Below are 18,684 nucleotides of genomic sequence, written 5' to 3'. Positions count from 1 at the left end.
TTCTTCCAACTGTGATTAAAAATATATATTTTTAAATATATATGTAATATAAATATATATTTTAAAATATATGTAATATAAATATATATATTTAAATATATATTTTTTAAATATGTAATATAAATATATATATTTTTAAATATATATGTAATATAAATATATATATTTAAATATATGTAATATAAATATATATATTTAAATATATATGTAATATAAATATATATATATTTAAATTTTGACAGAGTCTTGCTCTGTCACCTAGGCTGGAGTGCGGTGGCGCCATCTCTGCTCACTGCAACCTCCACCTCCCGGGTTCAAGCGATTCTCGTGCTTCAGGCTCCTGAGTAGCTGGGACTACAGGCCCAGGCTACCATGCCTGGTTAATTTTTGTATTTTCAGTAGAGACGGGGTTTCACCATGTTGGCCAGGCTGGAATTGAACTCCTTGCCTCAAGTGATCCACCCATCTGGGCATCCCAAAGTGCTGGGTGATTTTTTTTTTTTGGCGGCGCATTTTTACTTTTATCACGGACAACGTGGCCCCTTCCACACCCACAAATCAGTGCTGTCCAAGCCCCACCCAGGAGCCCCTGTCCAGCCACTGCTCTCCGAGGGCTTCGCCCAGGCTTCCGTCACATTATCACTCTCCAGGACGCACGGCAGCTCTTCCACTCTTACCTGAGGTTGTGTTATAAAAGCACATGCTGGTTGTAAACACCTCCAACAACGCAGAAATGAGCAAGGGGAAAGTGGAACTTGCTGTGGACGTGGCCACAGGACCACACTTTTGTTCCTGTTGGAATGCTTGGGTCGGTTTCACAAGTCGCCTCACAGTCTTGCAGGCTGAACCCGTCTGTCTGGGCGCCTCGCGCTGCCTACCTCCTGGGGCGACGTGGACGGATGCGCTCTTGTCTCAGCTTTGGTGTGTGCAGTGAGGAGTCTGCACCAAGAATGGTCCATCAATGAGGGAGAGTACTACCCGGGGTGGGGGGGCTTCCATGCCTCCCATAATGGGCACTTCCTGACTTTCTGCAGGAAATGCTGTCCTTGAGTCATTCTGTTTTGTCCTGAGGCTGCTGCGAGGAGGGGGATAGGTAAGCACATGCTGGAGGCTTCGGTCCAGGCACAGCAGCAGGTTCCAGCTGCCCTGCTTTCTGCTTTCCCTGGCTGGAGAAGAGCAGCCCCCAGCAGGCTGCGGGCACAGTCCCAGCTCACGCACGACCTAGAGCGCACTGCAGGGCCCCAGCACCCCGCCTTAATTTTCACCCTTGTCCCTCCTGCTTTCCAGCTTCGGCGTCCTTGTTAAAAGGAACTCGAACCACAAAGTTATAAACACGACACCTGCATTCCCTTCCAATCCTTCATGGTTTTTTTTTTTTACACACAAAGCTTACAACCTTTACTTTTTCCAAATGGAAAAACAGTTTTTCCAACACTTTTTAAAAAACAAATTATCCTTTTATCATATGCTGAAAGCCCTACCAATAACAAACCCACTTCTGCGTCTGACTCTGTTCACTGACCCTTCATTTACTTCGTAAACCGACCCTTTTGGTAACTTTCAGTAAAGAGGTAGCTTTAATAAATACATTCTCCAGAAATCTCCAGAACCTTTGTGTGGGTCAGGGTGAGAGGTGCCCCCACGATATAAACAGAACAGCTGAGTCCTCCAGGTAGGTGCCAGGTGCGATCTGCACAAGGCCGCGTGTGTGGGAGGCATGGAGTCAGAGGCGCTTACTCAAAATGCAACCCTTGTCTCCAGCAGAGCACACAGGCCTCAGAGCCCCGTAGACAGGGCTGGTCCTAGCGGATTCACGCCACTTCCTGGGCTTGGGGGATGGTACGCCAGAGGCTGCCCACAGCAGGAAGCCCATGCAGAGGCCAGGGCTTCTTGTCCCACTCGGCAGAGACCCCAGAAGGAGCCGGGGGCAGCATCAGAGCCTGGGGCCTGGGCAGGGGTGCCCGAGAGCACAGCAGCTGCAGGCCATTGGGAAGGCCAGAAGACAGGGAATGGAAAGCCAGGGACGCATGGAGTGACTCAGAGAAGGGACTATTCAGCTGGGAGTCCTGCATTTGCCCTTTGTGTTTCATCCGGGGATTTTGAAACCAGGTTTTTATCTGGACCTCCCAGAGCTGCATCTCCCTGGCCAGCCTCTTCCGCTCTTGAGAGCCCAAGTACTGGTGGTACCGGAAGACGGTCTCCAAGGCGCGGAACTACTCAGTGGTGAAGGCTGTGCGGACACTGGGGGCCCGCCAGGGGTTTGGCCCCTTACTCAACCCAACCACGGTCCTCTCCGGCGCAGGCCGATTTGAGGACCTAGACTCCTTGATGCTGACGGCCTGAGGGGGCTCCCGGGTGCCGGATATCTGACACAGGCCAGGGAGGCTCCCCTGGGAGACCTGGCAGGCCTGGAGGTGTGAGTCGGCTCTGAGCAGCTGCTCTGGGAGAGCCAGTCCACGGAGCCAAAGCTGGAGGGCAGCTGCCGGCCACAAGTTGGGGAGGAGGAGAGACGCAAGGCCGTCAGGTGGGCCGGAGGGAAGGCTGGGCGGGGCTGGCCAGGCGCAGGATCTACCTGGGTGATTTTTTTAATCTATAAAATAATATTTGCTTTTAATTTTTAATGTTACTATGTTGTCAATATATTGTAAAGCTTAAACTCTTTTTCCTTAAGACCACGTAATTTGAGTTTTTTTTAATTTTTGCCAATTAAAAGTGAGATTACTTTGATTTAATTTCTTGTGATAATATTTATTTATGGCCTGGCGCGGTGGCTCATGCCTGTAATCCCAGCGCTTTGTGAGGCTGAGGTGGATTTCTTGAGGTCAGGAGTTCTAGACCAGCCTGGCCGACATGGTGAAACCCTGTCTCTACTAAAAATACAAAAATTAGCCGGGCGTGGTGGTGCGTGCCTGTAATCTCAGCTAATTGGGAGGCTGAGGCACGAGAACTGTTTAAACCCAGGAGGTGGAGGTTGCAGTGAGCTGAGATTGCACCACTGCACTCCAGCCTGGGCAACAAAGTAGTTCTGTTTCCCCCCAAAAAATATATATATAATTTTTTTATAATGCTGGCACTAAATGGTGGTTGCAATATGTATAACTGTCAAGCAGATGGCATATTTTAAACCTACAAAATACATTTACTTCATGTGTCTAATTATATTAGACTGGTTGATGTGACAACAGAAAACAGAAGATAAATTCTGTAAATTGGGGTCACTTATAACAGTGATGAACATCTACTAAACTAAATTCTCACATCTGTGTCTACAAGATACAGTTTTGGAGGATGGGATAGAAAACAATTTTTGACATAGAACATACAAACTCTTTAAACTTGACACTTTTATAGTATGATTTCTACTACCTTGCGTATAACAAAACTCTAAAGTGTGTGAATTTTCAGAAGTAACCACACATGGCATTTTCCTTTAAATTTCTTCTTACATTGAGGGGTTTCTGTCATCTTCAAAAACACTAGAATGGAGATCTCTTACAACAAGTAACTGATCACTCAGTTGGCTAAAGTCCAGATTGAGGGTCAGGTGTGGTAGCTCACACCTGTAATTCCAGCAATTTGGGAGGCTGAGGTGGGAGGATTGCTTGAGGCCCAGAGTTCGAGACTAGCTTGAGCAACATAGCAAGATCCTGTCTCTGTCTCTACACTCACACACACACACACACACACACACACACGAGACCAGATATTGTGATCTGGTTCAGAGCCATTGTTTCCAATTATACACCCTTCCCTTTTGTTTAAGAGTATTTAAAAGAAACCCAGCAACTTCCAAAAAAAAAAAAAAAAATCCCAGGAGGAAGAACCACAGATCCTCAGTTGGGTTCATTGTTAGCATCCCTGAAATATCTTGCAAAGGAACTTATTGGAAGTTTACTCCCTCCTTAGTTCTTTGAATTGCTTCTCCCAACTGTACAATATACATCAATGGTACAGCTTCTGGAGAAGAAACTTTCTTCCTAAAAACAGACGGTAACTACATCATTGAAGCAGACAATCATGTATGTGTAATTTTGTAGTTATTTTATTTTTATATATTTTTAAAAGAAGAAAAGTAAAAGGATATAAAAACTAGCTGGTCACATGTTTTGAGTAACATTTCCTTCCCCTTATACTCAGGGTCAGCTTGCATTCCATTTGATTAACATTGATTTGATATTTTTGTCTTTAGAATTGATTTAGATAAATAGGTAGGATGTCAATATTAGGAGATTTCCTCCTCAGTAAGCTGCTTGCCTTCTCTATACAATGTGTTATGACATTTCAATTTGGGTGATAACAATCTAGAATCAAAGCAGCTGTTTAATCTTCATTCATAGCCACTTTGTGGGCAGTGGCAATTGTCACCACTCCCATAAAAATTCTGGAAGATGTGACACTAAGTAAGATGATAATCAATACCACTTTCCCAGGATTCAAAAGCATTAAGGACTATGTGAAAATAGCAGGATTTTGACAATATTTAATGAAGTCTTTTCTCTACAGCAGTAGACATTATCAGAGAAAGAATATCAATGATATGTACTAATTTGTGTTATATATAAAAGAATGATATTTGGGTAAGTTACAAATGAGTAAACTGTAATTATGGACAAATTTGGTCATGGTAAATAATTTGCCTAATTTTCTTCCCTTCAATTAAAATTTTGTTTTATTAAATATACGGATGTTAATCTAAGTATATTGTTAAACAGTAAGAAATAGGGTCTATAACATTGATGTAGAAAATGCTTGTGTATATGACAGCGTGCCTATTATGTGTTTTCTTAAACTTAAAGCATAGCAACTTTTTGAGAGAAATTTTTAGCCTAATTTTGCAGATGTGAAAACTGAAGTACAGAGCTTGAGAAAATCATTGTCAAAAAGAAGCAGGAATTAAGCTTCTGTTTGACTTATTCCAAGTCCCACCCAAGGACCATGCAAAGCCTTAAAGCTTCTTAACTAAGCACCGGAGAGAGAGAGAGAGAAAAAAAAATAGTGTTGTACTCTTACCTCCAGGCAATACAGCCAGTGTTTTCTCTACTTGCTCTCAGTATTTTTGTGAAAAGATTTACTCATGATTCTCAAGCAATTTCAATGAAAGCCCAACTGCTTCAAAAATTTTTATGTCAGCACTAAATAACAAAAGTCTTAAAAAGCAATTTTAGAATCACATTGATATAGTAAATAATCATTGTGCTTACAGGCTGATAGGGTCTGAAACCAGGTATGTTTTATGTATAGCAATACTTTTCACCAGTCACGTGGAACTAATCATCAGGTGTGAAGTTAAGCTGACTTATGGCAAAACACATGCAGACTTCTATGTAAAAAGGAAAAAAGCACAAATCAAAGGAAAATTAGTGGTGAGCTAGAAACAGCCTTATCTTTGAATTATCTAATTTATGTGACTTATGTCTTCCATCATATTTTTCAGTAATATAGCTTTTTGAAGTGAATTGCCTTTTGGGGCAAGAGGAAATAAATGAGTAGATGAATAAAGGAAAAATGAGGTACTGAAGAAGAATGAAGACTTTCTAATATATCTTCTACCACGTATATAGCATGAGTACTTACGTAGTTAACTCTGCTCCTAATCCTAAGCAATATCAAGGTTTATTGTTTAATACTAAAGATGAAATAATACTTGAAGTTACACAAAATGTCATATATTGCAAGTATCATGATTACTGTCATTTAAATAAATTGTAAATCAACCTTCTTCTTGTTGCTGAGACAGAAATTTAGCTGCTGTGAAATACTGGGATCTTCCTGCTTTTCCACTAAACCATTATTGTCTTTTATATTCTAAAATCTATCATATGAATTATTGCCAAAATAATAAAGAACAAAGAATCGCTGCTGCAGAGAAAATCCTCTGGGAATTTCTCACAGGCAAGGTATTTCTCTTTTTCTTTTCTAAGGACACACAAAGATTCCTTAAAGCAGGAGTAAGCAAACTTTTCCTTAAAGAGGTAGATAGCAAATATTTTAGAATTTTGCTGGCCACTCAGTCTCTAGAGAGTCACAAGTACTAAACTCTCCAGTTTGTCTCAGAAAAGCAGCTATAAATATATGTAAAGAAATAGCAAGTCTGGGATCCAATAACCTTTTATTTACCAAAACAGGCCAGAGTTGGTCCACTGATTCTAGTTTACTGACTGATGCCATATAGGGTAGGTTCATCCTACCTTCCATTTGCCCGGAATAGCCCATTGGAAATTTTTAAAAAGTATTTCCAAATCATAGTAATCTGCCTTTGTCTTTACTCCCCTTTTAGAATGAAATCTCTTCAAAATTAAAGCTTACTCATTCTTCAAATTCCGCCTGAAATCCACCACATCAGAGAACTCCAGAGAGTATGATATTTCATGCATACTAGACTATCATAAACTATTTCATGCATTATGCCATCTTTTATCTTGCTGACTTATAGCACAATAATGCTCTAAGCGTGAAAAAGAGAGAGGCTAAATAATTTTCCATGATCAAATGAGGAAAAAGCAACAGTAAATCCAAACTCTTTTGAATTCTATTTTGGTGGTCTTTATTAAGCTATTAACAATCTTATCATTACAAAAGAATACTTAGGAACATAGAGGTCAACATTCCATCAAGCACAAAAATCCCCTCTAGTTGTTAACTAGCAATTGATATCCAGCTTTAATATTTCCAATCATAAGAAAATAACTAGAGATGTGCCTTGATTTACAAATAGCTTGTTTTTTAAAAGGACCTTTGTGAATGCATTTCTTATTAAGCCAAATGACATTATAAAATTACTTGCTAATGGATGCAGAGTTGCTGAAATGGTGAATGTTTGTCCCTATTAATAAAAACTGGAAGTAGAACGAAAAATAACGAGCTTCAATACCTCCTGTGGAAATTTATCCACGATTGGACAGGTCTAAATGCTATTTCTTTTTTTTTTTTTTTACTATAAGTTTTAGGGTACATGTGCACAACGTGCAGGTTAGTTACATATGTATACATGTGCCATGTTGGTGTGCTGCACCCAGTAACTCGTCGTTTAACATTAGGTATATCTCCAAATGCTATGCTATTTCTTATAGTGAACAAAACTATCTTTTCTGTAATATTTACTTTTCTGCTACAGATTTACTTTCACAGTGTCTTCTCCCCCTTTTCTGTGACTAATCTTCATATATTGAAGAAAAAGTTGTCATGTATTCTCTAAGAATTTTTAAAGGACTGTAACCACACTAGAATCGTGATTTTTTTTTTCTCCATAGCATATGATTCCAGGAAAACTTCCAACAACTCACGTGTACATATGTCACTCTTAAAATATGATGTTTTCATGGTAGCAAGTGGTCTGACTAGCAGGAAACAGTGAGACTTGTCTTTCATGCCTTGTGAACTTGAATTTCCTTAAAATAGACTGTGCCAATGATAGACTCCCTTGATAAATCTGTTAGTAGTTTACATATATTCCTTGTGTTTCAAGTAGATTTTCAGTAAGTTAAAAGCAGAAATAACTCATTCATGTTACAATGAATTCTTACATAAACTATTTCCTCTTATTTCCTGGTCAGTTGAGTATTCAATGGAGGCTTGAAACTCACACTATAATGTGGAATTCTACGCGATTTAACATCTTATGTTGTCACTAATAATACTGCATAGTTGAACGTCTTAGGCTTAATTTCCTAAATTAGTGGATCTCTCTTTAACAAAGGAAAGATTCTTTCATGAGTAGTGAAGTCCCTGAAAAAAAAAGTTTGAAAAGTTCTTTTTGAAGTCTTAGCAGTAAAGTCAAAGACATGACAGGGTACTGTGCATTTAGACGTATATTTTCACTAGCTTTTGCTGGGATAAGCACTCTCTGGAAGAAACTCTCAGAATGCCAAAGGTTGAAACTGCTTCCAGCTTGTTTTTATACATAGTCATGGATCTCACCATTTGTGATCTAAAGTTCTGAGAATAGACTCTAAAGCTGGTGATCAGCAGTGAAAGAGAGCTTAAATATATCAGTTTCTTATTTGTTTATGTTAAATAAGCAAGAGAAGAAAGTTTAAAGATATCAGTAATATAGCAATTGAGACTCCATTTAATTTGTTCCACATAGAGTCAGCATTTTTGCTTAATTTAAATGTTTTGAATCTATTTAATTTTTAAATTAGATTTATCTTTATAAATATTGTTTTTAAATTATTGTGAGAGCACAGAAGAGGAAAATCATGTGTGACAGACAGATGTTTAGGCAAAACCAAACAAAAACAAAAACACATGGGTAATATATCTGATTCTATCAGTGTTGCAAGACTTTCTCATCAAGCTATTTATCTAGTGATCTGCAAATGGGCATGGCATTTTCTAAGCCTTCCAAATCAGTGTGATGCAGCCTAAGAGCTACCACATCAAGGCTCTTATCTATAGGATAAGCCGACTAAACTCATTTGCAAGCCCTGACTTTTTCCTTCTATTCTCATCTTGAGTGGCTCATTAACTTGGAGTAGTAGTATCAGTGTATCAATGAGCTGGTTAAAGGCTGTCAGCATGAACTTAGATTTCAAAGTGGATGTGACTGAAGCAGTGACTGTCATTTTCATATAGCAACCATTCTGTGGAATTTGATGATCTCCAGATTAGGAGCAGAACAGGGATTTTCTGAAAAATGTGTGCCTATAGACAGCAGCTTCAGTCATATCCAAGAGTTCCAAGTTGTTGCTGCTGATGGCGTACCTTATGGTTGTGAAACTTGCCTAACCAGCCTCCAAAATAAGTGAATTCCTTTCAAGGTATACATTCCTTATGAGTCCTGTTTCTCTAACTGAACCCTGACTAATACATTTATTAATGTGACAGAGGTAACAATGCATGACTCCAAATGTTATGTCATAAAAGGTGAAACAGCTTCTGTTTGGCTTTCAGATGCTTGTCCTGGAAACCAACCATGAGCTGTGATGAAATCCAGGCAACTGAGTTGTGTTTCAGCCCAAAGCAGCAAATGGAATCCAGGTGACTGACATCATTATCTATCAGACATGTGAGAGAACTCCTTAGAATGATGTTACTCATTATCTGCAACCACATGAGAAACCCGGAGCAAGAACCACCCAGCCAAGGCCAATCTCTAGAACTTTGAAAGATAATCATAAATAAAGGTGTCGTTTTACACTATTGTTTACACTACTCTGTGCTTTTCACACAGCAATACATATCAGTTACAGACTGCATTTATATTTTGTTAAAATCACAAATTTGGAACCACATTTTCACAATTTGCTTTCTTACGTGATTCTAAGTTACGGATTTCCACAATAGATATGTTAACAAGATTTGGAAGAAAGGAGTTAAGCGGCAGTCTTGTTTATGCTTGGAAAATCAGACTAGAGTGAGATGCTCTTACAAGTCACATATTTTAATGTGGATCTACTGGCTCACGTCATTGGCTAGAGGCAGTAGCTAGCCCACAACAGCTTTAGATTCTGCCAGATCTCCTTGGGACTGCAGCCAGACCCAGAGCTCCTTCAGCTTCCATTTGATCTCTTTCTTCAGTTTCCCTGGATCCTAGACCACACTTACATGAAACTCTGTAGAGAAGTACCTCAGCTATACTGCAGGCCCCCCATACAAACAAAATTGTAGGCTGGAGACAATGAGAGACTAATATAGCTTTATGTGATGGACAAATTTCAGTTTATCCTCATGGGTTTCAGCTCATTCTCAAATACTCTACTTTGTCTTTCTTCTCTCTCACTTTATTTCTATTTTTCCTTTCTAGCTTCAGGACCATCATCTGACATAGGGGAAGAAGACTTACATAGAAGGCCTAACCAGCACCCAAGATCATGTAAGGTTTAAACTTTATAATATATCCATTTTGTTTCTCATAGTTCTCCTTTTCTCATCAAATCAGAACTGATAACAGTGATCCATATTTTGAAACCCAGTGTCCTGTCTGAAGTTTCTGCTTTCAATGATTCCCAGTGTCTTAGTTCAGGCTGCTATAATGAAAATACCATACACTGGGTAACAGAAACAACAAACATTTTTTTCTCGCAACTCTGGAGACTGGCAAGTGTAAGATCAATCAAGGCACTGGAAGATTTGGTATCTGGTGAGGGCCCACTTTCTGGTTCATAGATAGCCATCTTCTGGCTGTGTCCTCACATGGTAGAAAAGGAGAAAGAATTCCCTGGGGTCTTTTTTATAAAAAGGGCACAAATCCCATTCATGAGGGCTCCACCGTCACAAACTAATCACCTCCCCAAGGCCTTACCTCCTCATACTGTTACATTGTGGGTTAGGATCTCAACATATAAATTTGGTGAGAACACAATTGGTCCTCAGCAACCAGTCTCAATCATGCCTCTGTTCACTAACTTCTTTCTATGTTTTGAAACTCAGATGTGAAATAGACCCCCTTTTCTTGAGTTTTTTTATAGTCACTGTTCGTTGAATATTTCATTGAAGTTCTCAACCAGTGGAGAAGTTTTACATTGAAGTATAATGTAAAATGTATTTGGCCACTTTCTTTTTCGCATTTTTTGTTGTCCACCTGCCTTTGCACCCTCCATCCTCCAGGCACTTTGCTCAGTTCTAGACTATCTCTAAGACTGTGATTACCTGTCTATGTTTTTCTGTTTCTCCAGATACTCCTTACCCCTGAATCCTAATATATCTATTTTCCTCACTTTGTACTTCAGAACCATTCCTTTCTCCCCTTAATATCTGTATGTAAAGATGCTAGAAGTACTTGTCATCTTTTAGTAGCATAGAAAAGCTGAAAGAATATTGAAATTGAAATATGAATGTTTTATAATTCTCCAGATTGTTTCTTATGATTATATGTTTGAAAATTTCAAATATAGAAAAATATATACATATTTTTAAATCGGGAATCTATTCATTTAATAAATTGCTACTGAGTACCTTCTATGTATCAGACATTGTTCCAAATGTTGGTGAGGCGATGAACTGAACAAACATTTCGCTCTCATGCAGCTTATCTCCTAGTGGCATGTGTGAGTGTAGATAGATGATAAAGTATAGTTTATATATTATATCCATTGGGGACCACTTCTATGAATATAATTAAAGCAGGATAAGAACAATAATGAAAGACTTATTTTGTACAGGGTGGTCATGAAAGATTTCAACAATAAAGATGTATTTGAGCAGAGACTTAACAGGAGGGACGAAACAAGCCATGCAGCTATTTCACTGAAGAGTATTTTAGGTAAACTAAACAACAAGACTATCCATGAAACTCAAAAGCAGAGTAAGTAAGTAGAAAGGTGGCAAAAGTAGAGTCATGGAAATATGGGGAGGCAGGGTTACAGCAAATAGGGACACTTTAACAGCAAGGACTTGTATTCGGAGTGTGATGGAAAGTCAAAAATCTTTGAACAAAAACTATGATTTCACTGATTTAGTATTTTTTGTTTTTAAGATTAAATCACAGAATTAAGAATCACAGGCAGAAGCAAGGAAAAAAATTCTGAATTCTCATTACCTCTAAAATTATTTACTTAGGCAATAAGTAAATGTAAGCTTAGTGTAGGATAGAACTTTTTTGTGTTTTGCTTGCTGTTGGATCCTCAGAAGCTAGGGTAAATTATTATACAATAAATGCTCAATAAATATTTTCTGTGTATTGGCTTATACCAGACCAATCAATCTTGGCCAAGGTGAGTATTTATAAACATGGCTGCAACATTTGAACAGCTTAAAGTTGTTCATAATATTATTTATTACTATTTTAATGTCTGTAATATCAGTAGCGATGATTCCTTCTTCATTTTTGGTATTAGAAATTTTTATCCTATTTATTTTTTCTTAGTTAACCTGGCTAAAGGTTTATCTATTTTATTGATCTTTTCAAAGAACCAGCTGTTCAATTTGTTAATTTTCTCTCTTGATTTCTTATTTTTTTATTTCATTGATTTCTGCTCTAATTATTACTTTTTCCCTTCTGTTTAAACAGGTCTTCTTTCTTTAGTTTCATAAGATGGAAACTTGGGTCATTTATCTTAGACCTTTGTATGTATTCAGTGCTATTAATTTGCCTCTAAGCACTGTTTCTGTGGCATCCCACAAATGTTGTTTTATTTTCATTTTCATATTAGTTCAAAATATTTTTTAACATCTCTGGCACTATCTTCTTTGCATTATGTTGTATTTAGAAATACATTGTTTAATCTCTAAATATTTCTAAATTTTTCAGCTATTTCCAGTCACCTATAATTTCTAGTTTAATTCTAGTGTGGTCTGGTACATACTTTTTATTTCTATTTTTTACATTTGTTCAAGTGTATTTATCTCGGTTAATATTCCATATAAGCTTGAGAAAAATGTATATGCTGCTGTTATTGGATGAGGTATTCTGCAAACATCAATTCGATCTGCTGATTAATTGTGCGGTTCAGTTTGAAAGTATCACTGTTGTATTAGGGTTCTCTTGGACAGAACTAATAGGATATATATGTATATATGTATATATATCCTATTAGTTATCGTATATATCTTACATACATATATATAGAGGAGTTTATTAAGTATTAACTTACATGATCACAAGGTCCCACAATAGGCTGTCTGCAAGCTGAGGAGCAGAGAGAGCCAGTTCCAGTCCCAGAACTGAGGAACTTGGAGTCCAATGTTTGAGGGGAGGAAGCATCCAGCATGAGAGAAAGATGTAGGCTGGAGAGGCTAAGCCCATCTCTCCTTTTCAGGTTTTTCTGCCTGTTTTATATTTGCTGCCAGCTGATTAGATCATGCTCACCAGATTAAGGGTGGATCTGCCTTCCTCAGCCCACTGAATCAAATGTTAATACCTTCTGGCAACACCCTCACAGACACACCCAGGATCAACACTTTGTATCCTTCAATCCAATCAAGTTGGTACTCAGTATTAATCATCACAAGTCCATCTCTTGTGAATTTGAACAAATACATATCTCCTGAGATCATAAATAATCTTCAAATAAAGACAATAATAAAGTCATAATTATACCTAACGTAATACCTATCCTTCGTACAACCTGAAACTCACCAATCCCCAACCCAAATACTATTACATAAAGTTAAAAATACTTAAATGCTGATATGAAGTCAATAAATCTTATGTCACATGATAAAGGAAAAGGAAATAAAATGAATATCTTAGTACAAGTGTATACATGCACAAACACATCTTTAACAAAAGAAGGAGGAAATACTCATGACAATTACAGTCCTTGTTTCTGCAGCTGGTCACATGGTTGTAGCTGGTATTGATGACTACCTTCTTCAACTACCCATTCTGTATGCCCTTTGCCTTCAGCAAGCACCTCAGCAGGTTGTGTTTTTTTTCCTGGTGGAGTAACCCAAACCTTCATTCCTGAAGAGCCTGGGCCATTTGTAGTCCTGCCTGGATTGGGCTGTTGTAGTTTCCCATTGACCTTAATCACAGGGCATGGTAATACTAAGAGACACCCTAATGGATCTTTGTATTCCATGCATACTCTTCCTTACCTCCATTGTGGAGTAGTAGACTGATTTCATCTTGATAGTCAGGGGTCAGTCACCCCAGCCAACACTGTAACTCACTTCTTAGCCTGTTGACTTAAAGGTAGGAGGAGCCCAAAGTGTCCAGGTGGCAATCTTAACTTCCAGTTTTATGGAATAATTGTTGTGTCTCCTGGTGGCAGCATTCCTCACTCTGGAACTAAGACCTCTAGGCCAGCAGAATGTAATGTCACAGGAATAGGAAGTAAAAATTTTGCTAGTGGATCACTAGGGGTGATAGTGAGTGGTGCCACTTCCACTTCCACCCCTTGATTACTGGACCTGTAAATCCTGGCTATGGGAGAAACAGTACCATATACTGGACGCTGATTCAGAGCATACACAGCCTTCTGGAGAACTTTGTCTAAACCTGCAAAGTATTGTCACCTAGTTGGAGTTGTAATTGTGACTTCAAAAGGCCATTTCACTGTTCTGTCAATCCAGCTGCTTCCAGATGGTGGGGAACATGGTAAAACCAGTGAATACCATGAGGATGAGCCCAGTGCTGCACTTCTTTAGCCATAAAGTGAGTGCCTTGGTCAGAATTTCTATGCTGTGTGGAATACTATAGGTAAGGCATTCTGTGAGTCCACGGATGGTAGTCTTGGCAGAAGCATTGCATGCAGGATAGGCAAACTCATATCTGGAGTAAGTGTCTATTCCAGTGAGTACAAACCTCTGCCCTTTTCATGATGGAAGAGGTCCAATATAATCAACATGCCACCAGGTAGCTGGCTGATCACCCTGAGGAATGGTGCCATATCAAGGACTCAGTGTTGGTCTGTGCTGCTGGCAAATTGGTCACTCAGCAGTGGTCATAGCCAGGTCAGCCTTGGTGAGTGGAAGTCCATGTTGCGGAGCTACTGTGTAACTTCTATCCCTGCTACCATGGCCACTTTGTTCATCGGCCCATTGGGCAATGACAGGCGTGGCTGGGGAAAGAGACTGAGTGGTGTCCACAGAACGGGTTATCCTATCCAGTTGATTATTAAACTGCTCCTCCGCTGAGATCACCTCTTGGTGAGCACTCACATGGGATACAAATAACTTCACAGTTTTCAACTACTCAGAGAGGTCCATCCACATACCTCTTCCCCAAATTTCTTTCTCACCAATTTTACAATCATGCTTCTTCCAGATCTCTGACCATTCAGCCAAACCATTGGCTACAGCCCATGAATCAGTATATAATCACATATCTGGCCATTTCTCCTTCCATGCAAAGTGTACACCCAGGTGCATGGCTTGAAGTTCTGCCCACTGGAAAGATTTCCCTTCACCGCTGTCCTACAGGGATGTCATAGAATGGGGCTGTAGTGCTGCAGCTGTCCACTTTCGGATAGTGCCTGCGTATCGTGCAGAACCATCTGTGAACTAAGCCCTAGTCTTCTTTTCTTCTGTCAACTCCCCATGATCATAGAGAAATCCCCATGAGGCCTTCAGTGCAGGCTGAGGGAGAGAAGGCAGGGTGGCAGGACTGGATACTATGGGTGTTAGAACCACTTCCTCAGGTAACTTTTTGTGCCTTCAGGACCTGCTCAAGCCCCATCACATATATATCACTTCCATTTAATGATGGAATGCTGTTGTGCATGGGTCATTCATGGCTAGATGGGTCAGAAAGCACCCAGTTCATAATAGGAAGTTTAGGTCGCATGGTGATTTGATGATCCATAATCAAATGTTCAGTTTCCACAAAAGCTCAGTAACAGGCTAAGAGCTATCTCTGAAAAGGAGAGTAGTTATCTGCAGAAGATGACAGGGCCTTGCCCCAAAATCCTAGGGGCCTCTGCTGTGATTCACCTATGACAGCCTCCAAAGGCTCCAAACAGCATCTCTTTCTGCCACTGACACCAGAAGCAGCATTGGATCTGCTGAGTCACATGGCCCAAGTGGCAGAGAAGCTTGCACAGCAGCCTGAACCTGTTGCAGAGCTTTCTCCTATTCTGCACCCCACTCAAAACTGGCAACCTTTCAGGTCACTTGATAAATGGGCCAGAGTAACACACCTGAATGAGAAATGTGTTGTCTCTAAAATCCAAATAGGCTACTAGGCATTGTGCCTCTTTCTTGGTTGTAGGAGGGGCCAAATGCAGTAACTTATCCTTCACCTTAGAAAGAATATCTTAATAGGCTCCACACCACTGGACCCCTAGAAGTTTTACTGATAGAAGTATACCGAATTTTAGTTAGATTTATTTCCCATCCTCTGGCCAGCAAACGTCTGACCAGTAAGTTTAATGCATTGCTACTTCTTGCTCACTGGATCCAATCAGCATAATATCATCAATGTAATCGACCAGTGTGGTATCTTGCAGAAGTAAAAAGTGATCAAGGTCTCTCTGAATAAGATTATGATGCAAAGCCAGAGAGTTCATATACCCCTGAGGTAGCACAGTAAAGGTATATTGCTGTGCCTTCAGTGGCCTTGCCAGCTGAAGGCAAATTGCTTCTGGTGGGCCATATGGACAGGAATAAAGAAAAAGGCATTTGCCAAGTAAATGGCTGCATACCAGGTACCAGAAGATGTGTTAGTTTGCTCAAGGAGTGAAACCACATCTGGTACAGCAGCTGCAACTGGAGTCATCACTTTGTTAAGCTTATGATAATCCACTGTCATTCTCCAAGATCCCTCTGTCTTCTGCACAGGCCAAATAGGAGAGTTGAATGGGGATGTGGTGGGAAACACCACCCCTGCATCTTTCAAGTCTTTGATAGTGGCACTAATCTCCGGAATCCCTCCAGGGATGTGATATTGTTTTTGATTTACTATTTTTCTAGATTGAGGCAGCGCTAGTGGCTCCCAGTTGGCCTTTCGCACCATTCCTGTCCATAAGGCCCACCAGAAGCAATTTGCCTTCAGCTGGCAAGGCCACTGAAGGCATAATAGCCCTCACCCTGCCAGTCAGGGAGCCAATGTGGGGGATCTGTCAGCTGCTAAGTATGTCTATGCCAATTATGCATTCTGTCACTGGGAAAATGACCAAAGAATGAGTCCAGGGACCCACTGGACCCACCGGACCCACCAGACCCACTGTAAGTTGGATCTGAGCTAAAACTCCATTAATTACCTGACATCCATGAGCCTCTACTTTAACTGGAGGACTGCAACGACATTTTGGGTCCCCTGGAATCAATGTCAGCTCAGAGCCAGTGTTCAGTAGTCCCCAAAATGTCTGATCAATTCCCTTTCTCCATAGCACAGTTACCCTGGGAAAAGGCCACAGGTCTCCTTGGGGAAGAATGGGAGAAAGATTCACTGCATAAATTGTCCATATGTAGTGGAATCCTTCCTCAAGGGGACCTGGCCTCCCCTTCATTCAAGGGATTCTGGGTCTGTAAACTGGCTCAAGTCTGGAAATTGATTGAGGGGCTGTGATCCCCTGTTTTTATAATGCAAATTAGTCTTTTGCTCATTCCACTTAGAAGTTTTCTGTTTGTATAATTTAAGTAGGAATGCTGTAGGCTTCCTATCAATTTCACTTCTAGGAACACTCTGATTAATTAGCCAATGCCAGAGCTCTATGCGAGTCAGATTATTCTGATTGTCGTTTTGCCTCTGCTTTTCATTACTGTAACTACACCCACCTTGCTTTTGATGGTTGAGTGCTGCCACTTGGTCCCTGCCATCTTGGGATCCAATTACTCCCATTGTATTTAAATGTTGTAGTTGAGTGACTGTGGTTCCCACCGTTAGATCTGACATACAGAGAAGAGCAATTACAGGGCTCTTCAAAGATGCAGGTTCTGCCCTCACAAATCTATTTTGCAAGACATTGGTCAAGGCTATATCTTCTAGATTCTCCAAGCTGGGATGAGTAGGCCTAAAGTGACTAATCCACTCCACCATCACAATCTCCCTAAGTCTTTGAATCCCTTCCTCTACATTAACCCAAGGGAGATCAGGCATTTCCAGCTTGCTCACATTGGGCCATCATTTAATCCACATTTCAGCTATCCAAGCAAATAAACTATTAGAACCCTTTTCAACTTCCCAAGCTGCAACATTAAATGCAGAATCCCTACTTAGCGGGCCCAAATCAATAAATTTAGCCTGATCCTACTCTGTTTCTTCCACCATTATCCCATACCTTTAATATCCATTCCCATGGCTGTTCTCCAGATTGCTCTTTATATAAATTAGAGAACTCAAACAGTTTTTTTTAGGGTACTCCACCTCCTCCTGGGTCACACACTCAACCTCACCTCTAGGGGCCCGCTGAGATTTTAGCCTAGTTATAGGTCTAGAAACAAACAGGGGTGTTGGGGATGGATTCTGAGGAGAATCAACATTATCTTGCCTGGCAACTGCCTCAGGGGAGTCATCACTGTTGCCTTAGGCAGCACAGGGTTTATCTCCTCAGACAAATGTGGAGAGGCTGATGGCAGCATGGGTCAGGGAGGGGATGTTGCCACTACTGGGGAGGAGGAAGGTGTTCCTTCTGGCAGAAAAGGTTCATCAAAGTTTACAAACTCAGTGTCCCCACCTTCATCAGGGTCCTCCCACACATCCCCATTACAAGTTGCAGGGTCCCATTCTTTTCCAATCAATGCCCTCATTTTAACAGTAGACACCTGGTAAGGCTGTGCATTCATCTTTTGTTGCAGATCAGCAACTCGCATGATAAAGAGCTTTTGTCTGTTTTTCCACAATTTCAGCTCTTTCTCTACAGGAGATAAAACTCTTAATCAGGGCAATCTTAGCAGTTTTGAGGCTCAGTATCTGCTTCTGAAGCCAGGAGACAGAATCCCTGAGTTCTTCATTTTCTTTCATCACTTTTTCCAGTGAACTTAGGAGCAACCAACCAGCTCCATTATGTTCCTTGTTTCTCCACATATGGTCAAAAGTATTATGTATAGAGTCACTAAACTCTATGCCTCTCATGAGCAGTGAATCAGGAGTGTCAAATGCATTTATTTTGTGTAACTCTCTAAACAGTTCATGCAAAGGACTATCAGTGTTCTTCATAGTATTAGAAGTAGAGTCCTTAGCATTTTGGGTCTAATCATATTAAGCAACCAACTCTAGAAACTCAAACCCAAAAGAACTCAATCCTTAATATTCTTTTCCTCTAGAACCACTCCTGGTACCAAAATCTATTAGTCAGGGTTCTTTTAGAGAAACAGAACTAATAGTGTATATATATATATATATATATACACACACACACA

General features: G+C 40.1%; 1 long non-coding RNA gene and 1 pseudogene across 1 annotated transcript in view, besides 2 other annotated features; one reads left to right on the top strand and one right to left on the bottom strand.

Moving 5' to 3' along the window:
* Window positions 507-2,574, bottom strand: VENTXP3 (VENT homeobox pseudogene 3; annotated as a pseudogene).
* Window positions 1,558-2,205: an enhancer, noted in NCBI's record as "H3K4me1 hESC enhancer chr12:74686414-74687061 (GRCh37/hg19 assembly coordinates)". NCBI's record gives its function as "activates a minimal SCP1, AML or CMV promoter by ChIP-STARR-seq in primed H9 embryonic stem cells {active_cell/tissue: H9 hESC(primed)}" and the evidence as "EXISTENCE:reporter gene assay evidence [ECO:0000049][PMID:30033119]".
* Window positions 2,206-2,854: an enhancer, noted in NCBI's record as "H3K4me1 hESC enhancer chr12:74685765-74686413 (GRCh37/hg19 assembly coordinates)". NCBI's record gives its function as "activates a minimal SCP1, AML or CMV promoter by ChIP-STARR-seq in primed H9 embryonic stem cells {active_cell/tissue: H9 hESC(primed)}" and the evidence as "EXISTENCE:reporter gene assay evidence [ECO:0000049][PMID:30033119]".
* The window catches only part of LINC02882 (long intergenic non-protein coding RNA 2882), a 159,459-nt gene continuing 142,982 nt past the window's right edge, over window positions 2,208-18,684 (top strand). The window contains exons 1-3 of the long non-coding RNA NR_038300.1: window positions 2,208-2,524; window positions 8,893-8,979; window positions 9,746-9,814. This is a non-coding gene — a long non-coding RNA (long intergenic non-protein coding RNA 2882). The remainder of the gene's footprint in view (window positions 2,525-8,892; window positions 8,980-9,745; window positions 9,815-18,684) is intronic.

This window comes from Homo sapiens, chromosome 12 (genome assembly GCF_000001405.40).
Source record: "Homo sapiens chromosome 12, GRCh38.p14 Primary Assembly".
In the NCBI taxonomy this organism is placed as follows: Eukaryota; Metazoa; Chordata; class Mammalia; order Primates; family Hominidae; genus Homo; species Homo sapiens.
This window is presented reverse-complemented; position numbering and strand designations above follow the sequence as displayed.